General features: G+C 38.4%; 2 pseudogenes, 1 gene segment (V, D, J or C) and 1 further gene; all 4 read right to left on the reverse strand.

Moving 5' to 3' along the window:
- Window positions 1-24805, reverse strand: part of IGH (immunoglobulin heavy locus) — a 1293408-nt gene that overhangs the window by 545654 nt on the left and 722949 nt on the right.
- On the reverse strand, window positions 10196-10494 carry IGHVIII-13-1 (immunoglobulin heavy variable (III)-13-1 (pseudogene); annotated as a pseudogene). The gene is given in 1 exon segment: window positions 10196-10494. A coding segment is annotated over 1 exon segment (299 nt).
- IGHV1-14 (immunoglobulin heavy variable 1-14 (pseudogene)) lies at window positions 13792-14041 on the reverse strand (annotated as a pseudogene). Its single transcript is given in 1 exon segment — window positions 13792-14041. A coding segment is annotated over 1 exon segment (250 nt).
- Window positions 21532-21993, reverse strand: IGHV3-15 (immunoglobulin heavy variable 3-15). The segment is given in 2 exon segments: window positions 21532-21844; window positions 21948-21993. Coding segments are annotated over 2 exon segments (359 nt in total), but the record flags the coding sequence as incomplete, so codon positions are not given.

The raw sequence follows: 24805 nt of genomic DNA on the forward strand, positions 1-24805 counted from the left end.
ATTAAATATGGCCTGAAAAGGACTCCGTACTTCTGTGTTTGAGTCCTTGTGGACAAACTGTAACCTACCTGAATAGGTGGACGAGATTGAAAAGCCAACTTTGGAGCATGCGCCTGTAACAACAGCGGAGTCTTGGCCAATTCCAGCAGCCATACCTCAACCACTCGTACACTCTTGAGGGTGCACACCTTGTTTAAATAAGACAAAAGCAACCTGTAACCAATCCAGCTGTTTCTGTACCTCACTTCTGATTTCTGTACATCATTTTTCTAATCTATAAATCTTCTTCCACCCCGTGACTGCACTGAAGTCTCTTTGAATCTGCTGTGATTCTGGGGGCTGCCCAATTCATGAATCATCCATTGCTCAATTAATCTTATTAACCTTAATTTGGCTGAAGGTTTTCTATTTTCAGCATTCCTATACAATTGAATCCCTTTGTTCTAGAATGAGGACGCTCAGAAAAATTTTCCTTTCCCAAAGTGTCTGTCTGAGACAGAAGGAGAGCCCATACTACTGAAATGCGTTCAGACCCACCTCCCTCATCAGCACTACAGAATAAAGGAATGACCTACCATGCAGGGGCAAGCCACTGAAACCATGATTCCAGAGGCACTGGTGGAGCCCCAGAGGAAATGGGATAAAGACCAAGGTTTTCACCAAAGTTCCATCGAAATGCACCTCCTCTCTGTCATGGAATCAAATCCTTAATCTCCAGGGCATCGCAGAAGATCTAGAAGATGATGATAATAGTGGAGACTATTGGAGGTGTGGGAGGGAACACCTGGCAAAAACAAGAGAAAATATATGTATTTAACTCAGTAGACTTCAAGCTATTTACACGTTAATTAGCTGGAATATTTCATAGCTAAATACCTGATCTAGCATGAGAAATAATAGAGATGACACATGGAGAATGCAACAGTGGGAAGCTGAGGTTCAAGTTCTGATGTTTGTTTACTGATATTTGTCCGCTGGCATGTCCAGAACTTCATGAGTACAGAACTCCTCCAATAGGGAAACAAACACTCACAGGACATGCATTTTTGTTTGAAATAAGTGTAATTCAGGTGCTGGTAAAATTTTCTCCTCAGACTCCTCTGCAGCAGCTCCAGGGCTGACATCTGTGTTGAGTGGGTTCTGGGCCTGTCCTGCAGCTCTGCCCTCACCCTGCAGGGGAGGAAGCTGTTTGGGCTCACAGAGCATATTCTCCCAATGTCGCTCCCCCAGAATGAAGGGGCTGTCCCCTGGTTCATAATCCTCTCTCAGCAGCATCTAATGCTTTCGAAATTGTCTCTTGAAACAGTGATTTGTCATTACTATACCCAGTAAACTGCAGAGAGAGCCCAAGCACAGATTCATGAAACCACCAGAGAGTCACTTCCCTGGGACTGTCAGATGCAATGACACAGTCAAGATACATGGTGAGTCCAGAAACTTTCGGATAATTCATAGGAGCCTCTTATTTCTCTTACAATTCTCTATTCAAAGGTCATGCCAAATAGTATCTTCGCAGAGAGAACTACATGGCTTAAAGCCCACAGAAATGAAAACATGCATGTACACACACATATACACCCCCCGCCACACACACACACACTCACAGAGTGGTATGGCTGATTTTTACAGTAATTGGCTCCTAATTTGGGATCTTTCCTAGTGTAAACCGAAGGTTTCTGAGACAGATCTTAATCAAATTAAAATTAATTTTCCCAAAGGAAATTATGTCTTTCCAGGACATGCCTGGAAGAAAAATAAAAGTAATCACAGAAACTGTGTGTGGTTAGTGCCATTCCCCAAAGACAATTTTTAGGGCTTTCAATATATAAAGAGGAAAAGCTGGGTAAGGGGAAATTTGGATGGTATGAAAATTTACATGTGTAATGAAAAAGAAGCATATAGGAAAATATAAAATTATGTAGTTCTCCTGCAGTAAGTCAGCACTTTCCCATGCTGTTCTCATGATAGTGAATAAGTCCCATTAGATCTGATGGTTTTATCAAGGGGAGTTCCCCTGTGCAAGCTCTCTCTTGTCTGCCACCATGTAAGATGTCCCTTGCTTTCCTGACATGATTTTGAAGCATTCCCAGCCATGTGGAACTATAAGTCCATTAAACCTCATTGCTTTATAAATTACCCAGGCTTGGTTATGTTTTTATTAGTAGCAGGAGAACAGACTAATACATTTATTTTGCCAAAGTTAAGAACCCACCCATGACCAGCCTCAGGAAGTCCTGAGACATGTGCCCAAGGCGATTGAAGTACAGCTTGATTTTATACATTTTAGAGAGACATGAGACATCAATCAATATATGTAAAATGTACATTTTTTTTCCTTCAAGACAGGACAAATTGAAAGGGGGTTTTGCAGTTTAGAAGTAGATAAGACACAGTAGGTTGCATTATTTTAAGTCCTTTATCAGCCTACCACTGAATCCACAATTTAGTCAGACTTAGTGAATCTTCATTTTTTCATAAATGATACTGAAGAGGAAGCAATCAGATATGTATCTGTCTCGTGTGGGCCTCAGAGGAATCACTTTGAATAGAATGGGAGGCAGGTTGCCCAAAGCCCTCTCCAGTAAAGCACCTTTGTTATCTGGAATATCACCAAAGGTTCTTTGTGTCGTGGCTATGAAAATCAAGGACACAGACACACAAAGAGTGAGGTTAGAGCAGAAATTTAATGTGTAAAAGGAAAAAAAATCTCTCTGTCACAGAAAGGGTCCCAGATGGGTTGCTGTGCCGCAGTAAAATGTAAGGATTTTTATAAATGTGCTCGTGGGGAGACAGTATCTTATCAACGTAAGGATTTTTATAAATGTGCTCGTGGGGAGATGGCTTCTTATCAACATAAGGTGCAAAAGCAGGACCAGGTGTGCCATCTGCAGAGAGCGAAGTCTCTGGCAGCCCCATCTCATGCTTTTATTATGCAGGTGGGGACTTAGCTTGGTCTGCTCCACGTTCCTTATCTCCTTCCACCATGCATGTGCTGAAAAAGGGGGGAGGAGTTTCCATGCCAGGTCCCTGGTACCTCCTTGCAGCTGGAGGCATCCCAAACCCCGTGCAAGCTAACAGCTTTCCTATCTCAGTGTGACCCCAGAAAAGGAAAGGAATGTGCTCATTAAGACCCAATGTTTTTATTGGGACCCATCCTATGTATGTGAACTTTGGTGATTACACACAGAAATACCCTCTCTGCCAGAGTTGTTTATCTATGTTTTACAGCCCGATCTTTCAGGCTGCTCTTTGTTAGAAGTGATCTCTTTGAACTGTGTCTGATTAGAAAAGAAGTTATTTCTGAGCTAATTCTTGTGAGAAGAAAAGTTTTGCCAGAGACTCTTTCATCCTAACTATCTACCTAAATAATTTCTTTCTATCTCCTATTACACCAGCTGGACTCTTCTCTTTAGCTTAGTGATTTTGGGGTCTCAAGATTTATTTTCTCTTCACAATAGGCAGGTACAAAAGGAGACTTCGTATGTAGTTAAGTTGCTTGTATCAGTCCATTTTCAGGTTGCTATAAGGACATACACGAGGCTGGGTAATTTTTAAAGAAAAATAGGTTTAATTGACTCACAGTTCTGCATGGCTGGGGAGGCCACAAAAAACTTACAATCATGATGCAAGGGGTAGCAAACACATGCTATTTCACATGACTGCAGGAGAGAGAAGTGTTAAGTGAAGAGGGAAGCCCCTCATAAAATTATCAAATCTTGTGAGAACTCACTCACTAACAGGAGAAAAGCATGAAGAAAACAGCCCCTATGATTCAATTATCTCCACCTCATTCCACCCTTGCAATGTGTGAATTATTACAATACAAGGTGAGATTTGGGTAGGGACACGGAGCCAAACCATATCATTGATTTTGTTTTCTTTTAGAATTTACATTGTCTAGCTGTAAGAAAGCACAGTTTAACTTCTGCTGATTTCAAGCCAGGAAAAATATTTAAAAAGGGAAATAACTGAAAACATTATTTTGGAGACTCGTGCAAAGATACGCTTTAAAATTCAGTCCAAATTGTAGAAAATAATATAAATTGAAAAGCAAGTGGACAAGGTTAAAATCTATTAACTGATGCACTATAGTTTATTTTGAAATAATATTTCTCTCTATAATTCCCCAATTTTATTAGACACAAAATCATAGTAGGACTAATCTATTTGTAAAATCAGTTTTAGGCTTATGAGACTTGGCCTGGTTTTTTTGTATAAGATGCAGCAAAGTAATCCTTTAACATATTAGCTCTCTTTTTGTTTTCTATTTTTTGTTTGTACATAGGCAATTTTATTCATAAATTGACTTTGCTGGAAATTTTTTATAAGGAATCAAAGGGTAGAATCTTTAAAATCTTCAAGCCCAGCCAATATTTTATCTGTGCCACCAGATAGCTATGTGAATTGGGTTACTTTCTCTTTTTTCAAGTTTCCAAGAAAACCTGGGAGTCCTGGGTCTGTCAGAAATTAAATTGTTTACTTACTACAGTTCAGGGCCCTGTAAAAAAAAAAAAATGTGCATGCCAGTTTTCCCAAGGGGCTTTATCAGCTCTCCAGGTTAGATTCATTTTATAAAGTAAATCTGAAAATATATAATTCAAGTTAAAGCCTTAGTAAAATGACCATTGTCTCCAATTGTGCCCTGTTATGGAAGAAAGCAGGTTTTTATTGAACCTATGCAAATAACTATTTTGATATAAGAATACTCACAGTTTCCAAATTTTGGAGAAATTATGTAAATAAGAAGATATTATGTTTTTATTTTTTTATCAGTAAAGTATACCATACTCAATTGTTAACAACTGTGAAGAGCTTAAAAGACAAACTTTTCCTGATTCTGAAAAAACAGAACATAAGTAATTAGCAAATGCATTAAAGAATAAGCCATAAAAACAATTTCAGTCTTCTGTCAATTCAGTTCATGCAATTAAGTCCTGTCCTGCTTAATATTAGATTAACAATCATCATAAATGAATCAGGTATCAATGAGAGTCATGGAAGTTTTAATCTCTATACCAATGGCACAATTTATAAAATTGTCACAATCGTATATTTGAGTACTCCTCAAAATTCTATAGATTACTATAAGCCACCTGATAAAGAATCAAAGTAAAACACCAACTGTGGATGACTGAAGTTTTAGAATAGCCATGGTTAAAGACAGAATTGAGGGGAAGATTTGGTTATTTCTGCAATAAACAGAAATTTTACATAATAATCATAAATACTACTGATAAAATATACTAAGACATATCAAATCACTTGAATCTCATACAATTTTGGAAAATATACTCTTTAATTTATATAAATATAGTCCAATTATATAGTCCACATTTATTTAAATATAGTCCAAAGTTAAACACTTTTGCAAATTTGACATTGCTTCCTGCATATTTTAATTATACCAAATAAGCTGAATATGTTTAATTTTGGCTTTGGGGACCTAATATCATAAAAGAATAATGAGGTCAAATGACTGAATTTAGAATTTTATTTTGTGAAGTTTGTCAAATATCAAAAGTTTACAATGCTTGATATTACAAAATAGGATTACAGATTGCTGTAATGTAAGTTATTTATTTAGCCCAGTGAGAACTCAGTGATTTTGAAAGAAAGCAAAAACTTTTATTTTTCAAAGAGAAGAATTAATTTTCTAAACAATAGCCCCTTATAAGAACAGCATGAGAGAAGTTAAAACTGTCTCTCAATTCTGAAAAATAAATCTATTACATTATAATTACTTTTACCATAAAATTTAATTTCAAATGATCTCTTATAAACTTTTATAAGTTTTTCAAATTAAAAAGTGGATTAATTCTTCAAGAAACCCTTGTCAATCTGACACATGGCCCAGCTACTAGCCTGGCATTAGTGTGCCTTTAATATTAATGTTTACTGTATAAAAAACTCTCAAGTAATTTCATCTTTCAAAATTAGCTTTTACAATCTTACAAACCGCTTCTTCTGTAACAGTCCCTGGGCCTGGAGTGGTTGAGTAGATTCAATTTTCCGGCCTTGTGTCTTAAGTGTGTGATTAATTTTTATTGTCATTTTCTTCCACATCTCTAGATGGGGCTTCAATTGCTGTCAGAGTTTAAAATTTAGCAAGACTCGGTGTCTTTTTTATTTTTATTGTATTTATTTGTTTTTCCTGAGACAGAGTCTCACCCAGGCTGGAGTGCAGTGGTGTAATCTCGGCTTACTGTAACCTCTGCCTCCCAGGTTCAAGCAATTCTCCCTGCCTCAGGCTCCCAAGTAGTTGGGATTACCTGCGCCCGCCACCACGCCCAGCTAATTTTTGTATTTTTTATTAAAATGAGATTGTGCCGTTTTGGCCAGGTTCGTCTCTAACTCCTGCCCTCAGGAGATCCACCCTCTGAAGCCTCCCAAAGTGTTGTGTATCCTTTTTAGACCTAGGAATCAAAGATCAGTAATGTAGCAGGACAAGTCCTTTAAAAGTTATGCAGATAGTTACATTAACGTAATAACAATAATTTATATTTTCTCAAAATCTCAGTATTCCTAAGTAGTTGAAAAACTTAAAAACAGCTACAGAGGAAGTATTTCAAGAAAATATAAAATTTGTTTTATGCCAGTTACCAAATGGGAAAAAACACCTTCAGCAGTGTGACTGTGTTTCCCTGTGGGGAAATCCATGCAGATAACCTGCAAGTCAACTCTAATGAAACAAAGTATTTGATTAATTAGACATAGGAAGAATGTGTCTTGGATTACAAGTGAAGATTTTGGTTCCATAGACAAATATAGACATTTAAAAAAACCCAAGAGTGCAGAATACTATATTGAAATAAAACATTTTATTAAGAACTTTAATATAAAAGATTTTTAGCATCAGGCAATAATAGCAGTTAGAAGCTAACAACAGTTAGAAGTTAACATCGTTAGAGGCTAACTGCTGTAAGAAAAAAAATGTTAGAGGAGCTCATGAAAAATTTGAGATCCTCTCAAGCCTTCTCAAAAGAGAATAAAATAAAACTGGCAAGATGCAGTAAGAGTTAAACTTTTGGGTTAAAAAATTAAAATATCTTATAATTTTATTGAGTAAATCAATACTTTAAGACAATTTTTCATTCTAACCAATCTTTAGTATATTTATATATTTTTATATGAAAGCCAGATCTCTACAAATCTATAAAGACTATTATAAATACTTCCTTTTTAATTATAGTCAACTTCATAATATGAAGTTATTTTAATTAATTAACTTTTTACAAACCTTAGTTTGACTTACACAAAACGCTTATGGCATACTTGAGCATATAGTTTTATTCTAAACATCACTGTTTCTTAAATAAAGTCATTTTTATTTTAGGATAAAAAGTTACAAGATTCTTTCTCATATAAAATTATTTTTTTTTATTTTAACCTTTCATACCAAAAGTACTCCTCTATGTCTAAAAATTTCTTTTCTTTTTTTTTTTTTTTGAGACAGAATCTTGCTCTGTCACCCAGGCTGGAGTGCAGTGGCATCTCTCTTATTTACTGGTTATGTTTAGGATGTTTTATAAGTAACCTCTGAATTAAATAAAATCTTTCTGTAAGAACAAATTTTTTACAAAAATATTTTCTTATAGTATACATTTTTTAAAACAATTAGTAATGACCTAAACATTTAGTTAATATCTATTATTTAATTAAACTTTAGATTTTTAAATTGTAGAACAAGTTTATTTAAAAGGTTTATTTTGTTACATTAACCTAATTTATTTTTTAAATAGCTTACCTAGATCATTTATGAAAACAGTAATACTCATCCTTTAAAGTTTTTTCCCTGTTACCCATATTATAACCCATGAATTTCAGGTGTTTACCTAAGTAAAATTCTTATTAAATAAATGATTGTATTTCCAATAACTATTTACCTGTTTTTTATTAAAACAACAGTATTAAACATCTTATTTGTCAAATTACAAAGATCATTCTGGTTTTAACTAGGTTAATAATTTTATAATCTTCATAGAAATGTTTCACACCATATAATATCTAGCTGTGATTTTAAATATAAAATCACTTGATCAATTGATATAAACTATGAGGTATTCTAATAATTGTTAAAATATTTCCAATTTTATTTTACCAATAATTTTGAAGCCAGCTTATTTATTACATATTTATTTAAGTTACATGTACTTCAGATGCATTAGGGCTCATTGACTTAATTTAAAATAGTTATTTATTTTAAAGTCAATTTTGTACCTTGTAGCCATAACACATAACAAAAAATATATATATATGTACATAATACATACAAGCACACATTCACACTAATACAAAGATACTAGAGCTTTTACTTTAAAACTCTAGCTGTGGAATATGAATAGAAACTCAACAGATGTTCAACAAAAAAGGGTTAGATGTAAACAGTGGTTGTCATCTTAAAACCAGTAGAAAGGCCCTGTAAACTGGAAAACAAAATATTTTTAAGCAAAAAACGTATCTTCATCTTTCTTAATAAACTTCACCATAAATTGATTATACTCTCTTACTATTCTAATTTTTAGTAACCCTAATTCACAGTGAGAAGCCTAGGATTACTTAATTTAACATGACATGACTTTAAGATTTTTAATTACTGAAGATAATTATGAGACTAAATTTACCAAATTAATATTTGTAAAGCAATGTAAAATGTAAAGGTGACTCTAAAAAATAGATGTACATTTTCTTTACAAAGCATTTCATTAAACAGACTTAACTTGATTGCAGATCTTTGAAACACAGCTTGATTACATTACTGCCCTTAGAGTGGGACCATTTAAGAAAAAGGACCAAGAAAACAGGCAGTTTTTAATTCATAAACTACAATTGCTTACGCAAATGTGCAAAGAAATGAGTAGCCTTCTGTAGTGATGACCATTTCCTGTAAACTTCCCTCAGCCACACCTAACATAGCTTTCAAAGCCACCCCTAAAATTACAGGTTTCATTCACTATTGCACACACCATGAATGAATCCTCTCAAAGTACAATGTAATTCTGGTAGCATCCAAAGCCAAAAACATGACATAATCCAAGAAAGCAGAGCTTTATACTTGCTCTGCTTTATACCGAAGAATCAGCCAATAATTGAAACCACAAAGGAAGCAGAAAAACTCCCAACATGTTAGTGACAAGATACAAGAGGAACCCTCCTCCCTGCTCCCACTCAGGGACCTGATGTGGATCTGCCTCCTAAGGGAGCGGTGGTGTCCTCAGTGCTCCCTGGTTTCCTGGGCACCCCCTGGTGTCCTGAGTACCCCCTGGTGGTTGTGAGTGTCCCCCGGTTTACTAAGCACATCGTTGTGTCCTGTGAGCCCCTTGTTGTCCTCAACGCACCCTGGCGTTCTGATCGCCCCCTGTAGGTCCTGAGCTATCCTTTGTGTCGTGTGTGCTCCTGGAGGTCCTGAGCACCCCCCGGTGTCCTGAGCACAGCCTGGTGATTCTGAGATCCCCCTGGTGTCCTGAGCGCCCACTGGTGGTTCTCAGCACTCCCTATTGTCCTTAGCAGCCCCCTGGGGTTCTGAGCACCCCTGGTGGTTCTCAGCACACTCTAGTGGTTCTGAACCACCTGGTGTCCCTATCGCCCCCTGGTGTCCTGAGCGCCCCCTGGTCTCCTGAAAACCCCCTAGTGGTTCTGAGCCCCCTGGGGTCCTAATCTCCCCCTAGTGGTTCAGAGACCCCTGGTGTCCTGAGCACCTCCTGGTGGTTCTGAGATCCCCCTGGTGTCTTGATTGCCCTTTGGTGTTTCTGAGCTCCCCCTAGTGTCCTGAGGGCTCCCTGGTGTCTCGAGTGTCCCCTGGTGGTTCTGAGTGACCCCCCCTCAGTGTCCTGAGCGCCCCCTGGTGGTTCTGAGCACCCCTGCTATCCTGAGCTACCCCTCACCACCGTGTCCGGAGTGCCCCCTGGTGGTTCTGAGTGACCACCCCCCCTCATAGTGTCCTGAGCGCCCCCTGGTGGTTCTGAGTGACCCCCCCCCCCCCAGTGTCCTGAGCGCCCCCTGGTGGTTCTGAGTGACCCCCCGCCCCCCAGTGTCCTGAGTGCCCTCTGGTGTCCTGAGCATCCCCTGATGGTTCTGAGTGCCCCCTGATGTCCTGAGCACCCCCTGGTGGTTCTGAGAAGCATCTACCAGGCAGTCCCCTCCTGTCTCCCTGCAGGGAGGTTGGTGTCTGAGTTCACACAGATGTCCCCTCACTGTGTCCCTCAAAGTAATACACGGACTTTTCCTGAGCTCTCAGGTTAATCATCTTAAAAGAGAATCTCCTGAACTGAGTGTATTTGAGGATTGTTAATCATCTTTTTACTCAAGGAGAGTCCCACTGAGAACTTCTATTTGAATTATTGTTATTACCCACACCCACCCCTGTCATGAAGCCTGCTGGATCAAGCTTATGCTGTTTTCAGTGAAAGTGAATCCAGAGGCTTTGCAGAAAAGGCAGAATTCCTGGTCTGTAGTATTTCTCTGTCTGACTCCATTAGTTAACTTCACAGGGGACTTCTGCAAACACAGAGGCAACAGCCACAGCAGGGCCTGATCCACGGGGAACCTAAACATTGAGAGTGATGACAAGAGCAGCCCAGATCCGCACAGACCCCATGGTGTGGACACTGAGGAAGGGCACAGATGTGGGATGGCTCCTCACCAGGATCTACAGGAACAGGGGATGAGCTACTTTTCATTTGCAGAGGAGGGGCCTCATTTCCATGTCTTTCTCCCTGGGGACATGAGTGCACTGCTCAGCAGGCCTCTTCCATCTCTGTCTCTGGATTCCAGGGAGGGCAGGGTCAAAGACTCCTGGGACTGGATTTGCAGGGTTGATCTGCCCATTACTCTTTTTTTCTCGTATGTGGACCCTATAGGCTATCTTTGTAGTATCAATATTTATCAACAAATAAGTACAGTAAACAAATAAAAATAAACCTTGCCCAGAGGAAATGGACTCCTGCCTGTAGGCTGTGCAATTAGAGCTGTAAAGGACTGTCTTCTACAATAAAGGAAAGTCTTCAGTCAGAATTTTAAAAATGACAATTTCTACAAACTATCAGAGCTGGAGTCCATAATTACCACTATCCTGAGCTCATTTTGCCACATAACTGTTCGTTGTCAGCTATATGTGCTTGTCTGAGGAAAAAGTCAATGTGGGGACATGTGTGCTTATCTGAGGGAAGAGTTCACATGAAGACAGGGGTGCTTGTCTGAGGGAAGAGTCAACCTGAGGATGTGTTTGTTTGTCTGAGGGAAAGGTCCATGTGGGGACAGGTGTGGGCATTGTCTGATGGTAAATGCCCATTCAGAGATGGTGTGTGCCTGCACTGAGCTGAAGTTTGAGGGAAATCTTTCTCAGTCAAAGGAAGTTGCGAATCATCTGGCTTAAATGCTTGTCAGCAGGGAAACTTGGTTGCACATGAACCTGATAAAAGAAAGGTCTCTTGTGAATGGAAACATCTTATGTGCAAATGGGGAAGGTTACTTCATTCTTTGTTGCCTGCATCTCATGCAATTCCCTGCCCACGCGGTGTAAATGTATTTGATATTTTATTTTTGTACACTTTGCATGTTCATGATGTGCTACATAATTTTGTAAGTTGTATATATTTAGATTCACAGTTTACATCATAAAATTGTGAGAATTAACAAATTGTGTCATGTGTTCACTACTGCAGATCATAAAAAATTTCACTGTTTGCAAACAGTACCTGTTTCTCCTAATGCATACCCTCTCTCTAAATTTCTAGAAAATCCTCATATATTTATGACATCTACAGTTTTGTCTTTTACAGAATGTCAAATAAAATGTATACAACATATTTCAAATAACCTCACTGAAGAAGGTGGCACATAAAGTTTCTCACCTATATAACTTAGAACTCAGGGTGTTCTGTAAGTCTAAAGTATAAAGAAACTGCACTTAAACACTTTATTCTAGTCAATAAACATACTTCCAACAGGGGTACAAGTTAACAATTCTAATACCACGACGCATATATTCTAAAATTGTACAACAAATTGAATGAACGGCAAATGATGGGAGGGGTTCCTCACTTTGCAGTAGGTGGTATGGACAGGCAAGGAAGGAAGGCTTGAAACATTCATGTATCATCATAGTAGATTGTAGATACCAGTGTTCTAAAGTTTGATGCAATAAACATACAGAAGATTGGATACATAAATAGATTAGATGGGTCAGTTAACATGGGTTAATATACACATACACATTTTCTAGGCCTGTTAGCTTAGAGATTCTAGAAACACTGACAGTACATTAACAACACACACATCCAACATCATAATTTTGTGTTTTAATATAATTCTTTAATATCAGGGACCAGTAATCCTTGGAGAAATAACTGATTCTATGTGTGGAAAAGATAATAGAGATAATGAGCTTAGTATTTCTTGTAATACCAGGAAATAGGGAAGTGATCAAAAACAAAAGGATGGGGCATGCTGTAAAAATACAGAATCCAAACTAAATGAGCTCACAGAACCTAAAAAAAAGCTGTGGTGATTTGAGCGATAAAATAAATAATGTAGCACTAGATCTTCTCCATAGTAAAAAATAAACATTCATGAGCCAATACTGATATTAACAGATTATTGAATACAGAAAATTAGAAAAAAGGCACCTTCCATTCAGAAGAATTCTAAACATCTTAAGTTAATAATCTTCTCATCAAATAGGAGAAATTTAAATGCTTATGCTGTGATTGTGGCCTGAGATTAGAGACAAGAGAAAAATCCTGTTAGTGGAATTCATAATTAGTTTTTAGATATGATGCCAAAAGTATGATTTATGAAATAATTATTTTATCTAAGTTTACACACACACACACACACACTATATATATATATATATATATATATATATATATATATGCACACACACATATATATGTATATAAATATTTTTCTCCCACAGACACTGATATGGGAGTAAAACGACAACAACAATTTGGAGAATACACTTGTAAAACACATATTTGTTAATCAATTTTTTGTTAACTTTGTGAGTGACTTATATAATGGGTATATAAGGAAACTTACAACTGATCAAAAAGAAACAATGCAATAAAAAATAATCCAAATACCATACGAGACACTTCATCACAATTATATAAAATAATTAAATACAAAATTTTAATTAGAAATATGTGCATTTAAACAGCAATGAGCTATCACTACTAATCTATTAGAATATTAAAATACACAATACTCTTAGTGCCAAATGGCAATGAGGATGCGGAAGAACAAGATCTATCATGCATTGCTGGCATGAACACAAAATTATAATTGCACGAAATGGAAAACATTAAAACATTTTGATATTTTATATAATGGAGATAAGTGTAGAGTTAAAGTGTTAAAATGTGATTATAACACAAAATTATAATTGCACAAAATGGAAAACATTAAAACATTTTGATATTTTATATAATGGAGATAAGTGTAGAGTTAAAATGTGATCTAGCAGCTGTGTTCCAAAATATTTACAACACCCATTCAAAAACTTATGCTCACACTAAATTTTCAGAGGAATTCTTTTATCAGGTTTATTAATTTGATTTGTTTTCCACTCCCTGAATTTTGCTTAGAGAACAAAAGTTGTATGGAAAATTTCCCACATAATTAGAGTCCATACACATTTCTATTTTCCTTTTTTCTGCAATGAATTAACCTCGCTTTCTAAAAAAAGTCTTTAAAGCAAATAAAATCCCTGTCATCTCTCAAGCCTAGCACTGCTGCCACCTCCCTCAGGATTTCTGACTCTCTCAGGATGTGGGTTTTCACACTGTGTGTCTCGCACAGTAGTACACATCTATGTCCTCAGATCTCTGACTGCTCAGCTCCATGTAGGCTGTGCTCGTGGACGTGTCCCTGGTCATGGTGACTCTGCCCTGAAACTTCTGTGCATAGCCTGTGTTACCATTGCCAGAGTAGCTCCCTACCATCCATTCAAACCCTTATCCAGGGGCCTGTCACACACAGTGAATGTCGTAGCTGGCGAAGGTGTATCCAGAGCTTTGCAGGACACCTTCACTGAGGCCATGGACGCTGGCAACAGGAGAGTCATCAGAAGCTGGGTGAGTCATATAATCAGGACAAACCTGTGCTCTCTTCTTCGGACCTGGAAAGAGTGGGCTGACCTTGTGTGGGGCAACAGAGGGGAGGAGACAGACCAAACATCCAGAACCAGGTGAGCACCTCACTTACCAGGTAGTCTCTGGGCCTTTTGTTTGAACACATGCAGAAGGACCTGTGCTCACCTTCAGGGAAATGGTGAACTTGGAGAAAAGATCACAGTGATCAATAATTTTTTACTTATCGAGAAAAAAGTGTCATAGGTCTGTATGCATCAATATGCGTGTGTACAGGTTGCTACACAAAAAAAAGGAAATTATATTAGCTGGAAAGAAAGCCAAAGAGCTTCTGAATGTGTAGGTGTTGTTATTCTCAAATACGCTAGCTCCCATTTTAGGATGCTGCTCCTTAGGGGCCAGGACACTGGGGCCGACAGAACATGCTGCAGAGGCTCAGTTCTGGACAAGAGCTACTGAGAACCAGAGACTCACTTCTTCCACAGCCCCACTGATGGATGAAGGCTCTGCCCTGGGTGCAGCAGCACTGAGGACATTGGCCCCCTGGTTCCCAACCCTGCTTCTATGGAAGAAGGTCTACCCCAGCAGGAGCTGCATGCTGACAAAGTGGAAAGTTTCTCCCCAACCCTGCACTGAGCGCTCAGCAACTACATTGAAGAAGAAAAACACTCCTAATCTCCACCTGCAGAATCTTATCTAGGAGCTCTGTCTCAGGAGCAGGGGTGAGGCTGAAATTTGGTCATAAAATAGAGTCCCGAATCTGGTCTTGAAGGACCTGACTTCCTTTACAACAGAGTGTGGAGAATTACAAAGCCCAAGAGTGCTTCAAAAACAGTGGAGGCTGTGGTAAAATGCACTTGGAAGGAGATGGGTGGATGCATGGGAGATCCAGGCTAAACTTCAGGGCTGCTGGCCTGCAGGAGAGAACCAAGAAGAATGAGAGCTGGAAAGAGTTCTCCTGGGGTCAGTACAAATGTCAGGCACTGTTTGTTCAAAGGCGCCCATGTTTGTTTGGTTCCATCTGCAGAGCAACTTAGACCTCAGTGCATTGTTGAAAATATAAACTTCCAACTGCAGGTAGTGGAGCTCAACATCTGGTCCTGGTCAGGGAAGAGCCAGAGAGAGCCCAGCCCAAGCCAGTGACATGCGAGGGTGACAGTGAAATCCACGACTGTGTCTCTGGGGATCTTTCAGGCAGGCCTTCTGTCACTCAGAAGAAAGTCTGGAGTTCACCTGTAATGGTTTGTGTCAAATTTTCAAAGACGTCCATGTTGTTTTTAGTTTCTAACACACACACACACACCACACACACACACACACACACACACACAATGTTAAACATCTGAATACGTGTGTGAACATATGATTTTAATCCTTTGTAGGACATACTTAGGAGTGAGAGTTCTAGGTCATGGATTAAGGACATGTTTAATTTTATGGGAAACTGTAAATGATTTTCCCAGAAACGGTTTCATTTTGCATTCCCACTAGCAATATATTAGTCTCTAGGGTGACTGACTTCCTCACCAACTCTGATATTGTCAGTATTTCTTTTTTATTTTTTGTCTTTCTAGAAAGTCTATAGTAGTGTCTCCTTTTGGTCTTGATTTGCATTTCTCTGGTGGAAAATCACATTCCTATGCTGATGTGTCATCTGTACATCTTTGAGGTTTGCCGGTTCTTGTTATAATTACATTGGTAGATATATGACTTGCAAATATTTTTTCCTTTGCAGCTTGTCCTTAATTTTCTTGATAGTCACTTGAGTAGAAAATGTTTTAAAATTTGAAGTTCAACTAATATTATTTTCATTTATTGATCACAAATTTTAATTTTCAGTATTGTTTATCAACTGTTAATCATTTTAATTGTATTTGTTTTTATTTTATATGTATAAATTTATGGGGAGTGACTGCAATTTTGTTACATATATATATTGCATAGTAGTCTTGGCTTTAACATATCCATGATCCAAATAATGTACATCATACCCATTAAGTAATTTCTCACCATTCTCCCACCTTTTGCTCTCCCATCTTTCTGAGTCTCCAATGTCCATCATTCCTTTCTCTATGTCCTTGTGCACATATGAGTTCACTCTCATTTATAAGTGAGAACATGTGGTGTATGATGTTCTGTTTCTCAATTATTATACTTAAAATAATGATGAATTCCATCCATGTAGCTGCAAAAGATATGATTGCATCCCTTAATATGGCTGGATAGTATTTAAATGTATATATATGTAACATTTTCTTTATAAAACTATCTGTTGTTAGGCATAGGTTAATTCCTAAGTTTGATGACTGTGCTATTATGAATAGTTCTGCAGGAAAACAAAAGTCTGCTTATCATTCTGATATAATGATTTATTTTTCCTTTAGGTAGTTATTTGTGGTTATCGAATCAAAGTAGTTCTACTTTTACTTCTTTGAAAAATCTCCATACTGTTTTCCATCGAGGCTGTGCTAATCTACATCCTCACCACAAGTGTCCAAGCGTTCCTTTTGCCTTCAATCCTCACCAATACCTGTTATTTTTGGCTCTTTAATAGTAGCTGTTCTGACTGGTTTAAGAAATATCACTGCAGTTTTAATTTGCATCTCCCTGATAATTAGTGCTGTTTAGCATTGTTTACTTATCTACCATCCAGCATTTTCCCATGTATATCAATACGTCAAGTGGTGTACCTTAAATACATACAATTTTATTTGTCAACTTTAGCTCCATAAAGCTGAAAATGTAAGTCTTATAATAAAAAAGCATACTTATATTTCTACATATTTTATCAATATGTGAGAATATAAACAGAAAAACTTGCACAAAAATAGTTATAACAGTTTGCTTATAATATTTATGTTGGAAACAAATTTAAATTTCATCAACAGGAAAACAAATATACATATCGTCATTATTTCACATAATAAACTGATTTATTTACTTAATAAACTGTCATTTACTGATGTTATGGATTGATTCAGATATGAAATATTCATATGTGTATTAGTACATACATATGTATATATACGATGACAAAACCTTGAGACATGAAATTACATAAATAAACCTAAAAAATAGCAAAAATAAGTTCAAAACAGAAAAAATCAATCTATAATGACAAAAATTAGAACATTTTTCTATTTGCATTTTTCTGATGGTTAGTGATGATGAGAATCTTTTAAAATATTGCTGGCCACCTGTAAGTCTTCTTTTCAGAAGTGTCTGTTCTTGTTATTTGCCCATTTATTAATGGGGTTATTTGTCTTTTGATTCTTGATTTGTTTAAGTTTCCTATACATTCTTGATATGGTTTGATTGTGTCCCCACACAAATCTTATCATGAATTGCTGCTCCCATAATTACCATGTGTTGTGGGAGGGACCCCGTGGGAGATAATTGAATCATGGTGGGGGGGGGTCTTTCCCATGCTATTCTCATGATAGTGAATTAGTCTCATGAGATCTGATGATTTGATAAAGGGGAGTTTCCCTGCATGAGTTCTCCTGTCTTGCTGATGATTTTATAAAGGGGAGTTTCCCTGCATGTCCTCTCTTCTCTTGTATGCCACCATGTGATATGTGCCTTTCATGTTCTGCCATGATTTCGAGGCCTCCCCAGCAACGTGGAAGTGTGAGTCTATTCAACCTCTTTCTCTTGTAAATGCCCAGTCTCAGGTATGTCTTTATCAGCAGCATGAAAAGCAACTAATACGGTAAATTGGTATCAGTTGAGTGAAGTGCTTCTGATAAGATACCCAAAAGCATAAAAGCAAATTTGGAATTGGAAAACACGCTGAGGATGAAACAGTTTGGAGGGCTAAGAGGAAGACACAAAAAATGTGTGAAAGTTTGAAACTCTCTAGAGATTTGTTGAATGGCTTTGGCCAAAATGCCGATAATGATGTCAACAATAAAATCCAGGCTGAGGTGGCCTCAGATGGAGACAAGGAACTTGTTGGGAACTGGAGCAAAGGTGACTCTAGTTAGGCTTTAGCAAAGAGACTGGTGGCATTTTGCCTCTGCCTTAGAGATTTGTGGAACTTTGAGCTTGAGAGAGATGATACCAGGTATCTGGCAGTAAAAAATTCTAAGCAACAAAGTATTCAAGGTGTGACTTGGGTGCTGTTAAACACACTCAGTTTTAAAAAGGAGGTAGAACATAAAAGTTCAGAAAATTTGCAGCCCGACAATGCAATAGAAAATAAAATCCCATTTGGTTAGGATAAATTCAAACCAGCTGCGTAAATTTACATAAGTAACGAGGACCCAAATGTTGGTCACCAAGACAATGCAGAAAATGTTCCAGGGCATGTCAGAGACCTTTGTGGAAGGTTCTCCCATCATAAGCCAGAGACCTAGGAGGAAAAAATGATTTCATGGGCTGGGCTCAGGGTCCCTCTGCTGTGTGCAGTCTAGGGACTTGCTTCCTTGCATCAGAGCTGCTCCAGCCATGATTAAAAGGGGCCAAGGTACATATAACTCAGGCTGTGGCTTCAGGGGGTGAAAGCCCCGAGCCTTAGCATCTTCCATTTTGTGTTGAGCCTGCAAGTGCACAGAAGTCAAGAATTGAGGTTTAATAACCTCTGCCCAGATTTCGGAGGATGTATGTAAATGCCTGGATGTCCAGGCAGAAGGTGGCTGCAGGGAGGGGCCCACATGGGAACCTCTGTTAGGGGCAGCGAGGAAAGAAAATGTGGGGTGGGTGCTTTCACACAGAGTCCCCACTGGTGCATTGCCTAGTGAAGCTATGATTAGAAGGCCGCAGTTATTCAGACCCCAGAATAGTAGATCCACCAACAGCTTGCACCATGCACCTAGAAAAGCCATGGACACTCAGAGCAAGCCGGTGAAAACAGCTGGGTGAAAGACTGTACCCTGCAAAGCCAGAGGCACATAGCTGCCCAAGACCATGGGAACCCAACACTTACATCAGCATGACCTGGATGTGAGACATGGAGTCAAAATAGATCTTTTTTGAGCTTTAAGATTTAACTGTCCCACTGGATTTTGGACTTGTACGGGGCCTTTAGCCTCTGTGTTTTGGCCAACTTCTCCCATTTGGAATTGCTCTATTTACCCAATACCTGTACTCCCATTGTGTCTAGGAAGTAATTAACTTACTTTTGATTTTACAGGCTCATAGGCAGAAGGGACTTGCTTTGTCTCAGATGAGGCCTTGGAATGCGGACATTTCAGTTAATGCTGAAATAAGAATTTGGGACTGTTGGGAAGGCAGGATCCATTTTGAAATGTGAGTACATGAGATTTAGGAGGAGCCAGGGGCAGAATGATATGATTTGACTGTGTCCCCACCCAATTCTCATCTTAATTGGAGCTTCAGTAATTTCCTAATGTTGTGGAATAAACCCCCTGTGAGATAATTAAATCATGGGGGTGGGTCTTTCCCATGCTATTCTCTTGAGAGTGAATGTCTCATAAAATCTGATAGTTTTATAAAGGGGGATTTTCCTGCACAAGTTCTCTTTTCTTGTCTGCTGCCATATGAGACGTGCCTTTCACATTCCACCATGACTGTGAGGCCTCTCCAGCCTTGTGGAACTGTGGATCAAACCTCTTCTTCTTCTTTTTTGATAAATTTCCTAATATCGGGTATGTCTTTATTAGCAGCATGAAAACCAGCTAATACAATTCTGGATATTAGGGCATTGTTGGATGCAACATTTGTGAATAACTTCCCACATTCTGTAGGTTGTCTGCTTACTATGCTGATAGTTTTGTTTGTTTATTTGTTTGTTTGGTTGATTAGCTGGTTGGTTTGCTGTGTAGTAACTCTTTAGCAAATTAGTCTCTCCTTATCTATTTTTGTTTTTGTTGCAATTGCTTTTGCATACTTAGCCAAAAAGTATTTGTCAAAGCTGGTGTCGAGAAGAGTATTTTCACGTTGTCTTCAAGGATTGTTATAGTTTGATGTCTTACATTTAAATCTTTTATCAATTTTGAGTTAATTTTTATATATGTTGAAAGCAGACATCCAGTTTCAATCTTTGTCGTGTGGCCAGCTAGTTGTCCCAGCACCATTTATGGAACAGGGAATTCCTTTCTCATTTCTTGTTTTTTTGTCAGCCTTATCAAAGATCATATGGTTGTAGGTGTGCAGCCTCACACCACTCAAATTTTTATCACTAAAAAGTCAAAAACCAATGGATACTGATGGGGCTGTGGTGAAAAGAAAGCACTTACACACTGTTAATGGGAATATAAATTAGTCCACCCACTTTGGAAAGCAGACTGGAGATTTCTCAAAAAACTTAAAATGGAGATATTATATGAACCAGCTATCCTATTACAGGGTATACACTACAAGGTAAACAAATAATTCTACCAAAGAGACACATGCATGTGTATGTTTATTGCTGTGTTATTCACAGTGGCAAAGACAAAGATCAGCCCAGATGCACATCAATGGTAGAGTGGATATATAAAATGTGTTACATGTAAAATATATAATACTACACAGCCATAAAAAAGAATGAAATCATGTCCTTTGCAGCAAAACAAATGGAGCTGGAGTTCTTAATCCTAAACAAATTAATTCAGGAAAATAAAACTGAACACCACATATTCTTGTAAGTGGGACCTCAGCATTGAGCACACATAGACATAAATATGGGAGCAACAGACACTGTGGACTGCTAGACCATGGAGGGAGGGGGTGAAGAAATCTGTATTCCAAACCTCAGCATCACTCAGTAATCCCATGTAACAAATCCACACATGAACCCTCTGTATCTAAATTATAAAGTTGAAATAAAAAAAAATCCTTATGTGAGAACTAACTGGAAGCACTAAGAGGACACTTTGTGGGGAGATGGACCTCACCTGTTCCTCACCCTCACTTAGCTGCTGTAGACAAGTATGTGCACATTTGCCTGAAACCCTCTAACTGTACCTGGAGAATCTGTGCATTTTTGTATATGCTAATTTTATCTCACAAAAATGGAAAACAGACAATTGTAGAAAAATATTTTATATTAAAATTAAAATCTTAGTAAAATAAATATGAAAATTCAAATACAAAATGAGAATGTGATTGTTACAATAATTATTATGCATTTAGGATATAATTATATGTTACAATAATTATGTTACAATAATTATTATGCAATTAGGAATGTTTATTTCTTGAAAGTATATACTTAAAAATATAATAATATGTAGAATGTTAATAATTACTAAAATTTAAGTATTAATGATAAAATTCATAATAAATATAAGTAACAAAATATCACAGCCTAGAAGACTCCAGAGTCCTGCGAAGATAAACCTGACTTTTCCAGCTGAGGAGAAAGGAAACCTCTCCCGGCACCTGCTCCTGGGACCTGTCCCGCCCTCAGTGGGTCACGAGCGCCCCCTGGTGGCCCCGCGCGCCCCTGCAGGGAGGTTTGTGTCCGGGCTCACACTGACCTCCCCTCACTGTGTCTGTGGTACAGTAATACACGGCTGTGTCCTCGGTTTTCAGGCTGTTCATTTGCAGATACAGCGTGTTTTTTGAATCATCTCTTGAGATGGTGAATCTGCCTTTCACGGGTGCAGCGTAGTCTGTTGTCCCACCATCAGTTTTGCTTTTAATACGGCCAACCCACTCCAGCCCCTTCCCTGGAGCCTGGCGGACCCAGCTCATCCAGGCGTTACTGAAAGTGAATCCAGAGGCTGCACAGGAGAGTCTAAGGGACCCCCCAGGCTTTACCAAGCCTCCCCCAGACTCCACCAGCTGCACCTCACACTGGACACCTGCAAACACAGAGACACTAAGATCAGAAACTGCCACACATATCCACTGTTTCTCTCACTCACGTCCACTCACACTTAATCTCTCTAGTTCTCCATAAATCACCTTTTAAAATAGCAGCAAGGAAAATCCAGCTCAGCCCAAACTCCATGGTGAGTCCTCTGTGTTCAGTCCTGATCACTGAATGAAAACACTTGGGAATCCCAAGGCTGGGGCTCCTCTCCCAGAGCTGCAGGGTCAGGACTGGGCTGGTTTTCATCAGGAGAGGGAGGGCCCTATTTGCATGTCACCTACTATATAGCAAGCTCTGGGGTGGGATGCCTGAGCAGAGGGCAGGGCCCAGATAAGGTAATGATGCCCTGCAGGAATCTAATGACAATGATGCTGTTTGGAAAACTTGCTGTCTTGTTATGAAATTGTGCTGTGATAAACACTTTGCACTAATCACTCTCTTACATTTTTACATATTTGTGTAAATCATATTTTTAGGGGTCAATGGTTTCTCAATTTACAGATGGGGAAGTAAACCCATGCGTGGAGGGGCTTTGTATGTATCTAAGAGCTCATACCTGAGGTTAGTGAGCCCCAGTATCTAGGCCTGTGCTCCTCATCCACTGGCCCTATATTACTCCCTAACCCAACTCCAGGACAGAGCTGAGCATGCCTAGTGTGGTTTGTGAAACCCACTTTCTGTATTGAGAGCATGTGTAATTTTGCTGCATTCTAGCATTCACCTAAAAATATGGTGAGAACTAGGGTTCACGAAGATAAATTATTAGGTGTTTCTGAAATTTAATATTTTTTCTATCTTTATGTCACTTATTTCTTGTGCAAGTTTTCATTTGTTTGCTGGTAATAAATTTTATAAATTTCAGTTTACTGATAATAAACTTCACATATTTAAAGTGTACAATTGATAAACCTGATGTAACCATCCTAGTTACCAAGGTGAACCAGAAAATTCACAAAATTTCCCTCTCATTCTTCTATATTCCTCCTCCTTTCCTCTTCCCTTCTTCTACCATTTCCCCAAATGGTAAATTCTGTTCTTCTTTATATTGCTGTAGATTCAATTTAATTTATCAGAGTTTATTAAAATGGAATAACATAGTACATATTCTTATTCATTTGCTTTATTTTCCTGAACATCAATACTTAGATATTTTACCTTGTTGTTATATTACTTAAGTAAGTTCAGTTTTTATTTTCCAGAATTTATATAAATGAAATTATATGGTAAATCTTCTCATTTGTCTGGTTTATTTTACTCAGCAAAAATACTTAGATATTTTACCTTCTTGTTGCATGTATCAGACAATTATTTATTATAAATGTTGTGTAGTATTCCATTGAACAAATTTACCATAATTTGATTTTCTGTTAAGCAGCTTAACAATGTTCAAATTATTTTATTACTCTGGTAGTACTAAAAATCTACTACTCGACTTGAAAATGTACATAAATGAGGGATATATATTCTTTATTTCTTACAACTACATCAACAATAACAGATAAACAGTCAAGATGAAATTTTGCAAATTTCTGAATGCTTAGGATAACTGAAGTTAAAAAAAATCTTAAATTTAACAAGAAGCAAGTTCTTGTAGAGAGTAACAAAGCCAGCATATGAGATTACCTAAGGCAGAGTCTGGCATATGAAATATAGTCTGTTAAAGATAAAAATACAAATATATATGGGATTGCTTGAAACTGAATATGGTAAGCTTGTTGTAGTTTGAAATTCTAAGGGACCACATACTGAAGAGCTTTTCTATCCTCTTGAATCCCTTTCCCCAAAAAAGGGGCAGTCACAAAATCTTCCTTTCCCAAAGTGTCTGTCTGGGAGAGAACAAGAGCCCCCATTTTTGAAAGGCATTCAGACTCGACTCCCTTATATCCACTACAGAACCAAAAATTACTTTGCAGGGGAACCACCAAAACCAGTACCCTAGGGGCACTGGTGCAACCCCTCAGGAATTGAGATGGGAACAGAGGTCACTGCCACGAAGTTCTGTTGAGACATAACTCTCCTTCTTATGGAATCAGAGCTTTAGTCTGCAGGGCAGGGCAGCAGATCTGGGAGGTGATGACACTGATGCGGAACACTGGAGCTGTGGGAGGGAACACCTGGGGGAAACAGGGTGGTTCTACCCCAGTGAAAGGGACAAGAACACACAGATGAGCATCTCCTCTGGAGGAGGGACAGGAACACTCAGAAGGTCACACCCAGACTTACGGGCACAATGCCTTTCTAGGAATATGGACCAAGATGAGGTCAGAGACTCTTCCTTTAGTGTAAGGGCTTCCACTAATTTATCAATTGTCAGTTACATGTAACAGAGGAATGCACCTGTGGGAGCTGAAAGAGATTCTCTGGAGGATGGAACAAGGAGAAGAGACACAGTCACGCAGCAAAGAAAAACAAGATATCGCTGGAGCATCTATATCTCTGGTGGACATAGAAGAACAGACTTCAATTAGTTGTTGAAACCTTTATATCAGTCTTTACTAATTTATATGCTAAAATAGTCGGCCTCATCAATGGAGTCTTCTTATCCCCATCAGGGATGAGTGTCCATGTGGGCACGTGGTGCAGTTCTAGTCATGGGGGCAGGGGAGGTGGTCTGTTGAGGTGTTCCTGGTCCTTCAGAGGAGAATTGCAGAACTGTCTCTGCCCCTTTTCCAGCCAATATATAAAATACGTATGTGACCATGGGAATATTGTCACCATGTCACTGCATTATGGGAGTCACCTGGGGGGTGAAGCTGACTTTCTGGATGCATCAGTGTGGAAAATTGAGAAAAGAAACTTCCTGGGTACATGAGTTGTCAAATTATTCAATCCTGGAGCCACTCACATCCAGAGGCTTCCTGTTTCATCAGGTTGTGATTTTCCTCATTGTTTAGTCGGCCTAGGCTGTCTTTCTTCACTCTCTGCTAAAATAGTCACACATAATATCTAG

The sequence above is a fragment of the Homo sapiens genome, chromosome 14, assembly GCF_000001405.40.
Source record: "Homo sapiens chromosome 14, GRCh38.p14 Primary Assembly".
Classification (NCBI taxonomy): domain Eukaryota; kingdom Metazoa; phylum Chordata; class Mammalia; order Primates; family Hominidae; genus Homo; species Homo sapiens.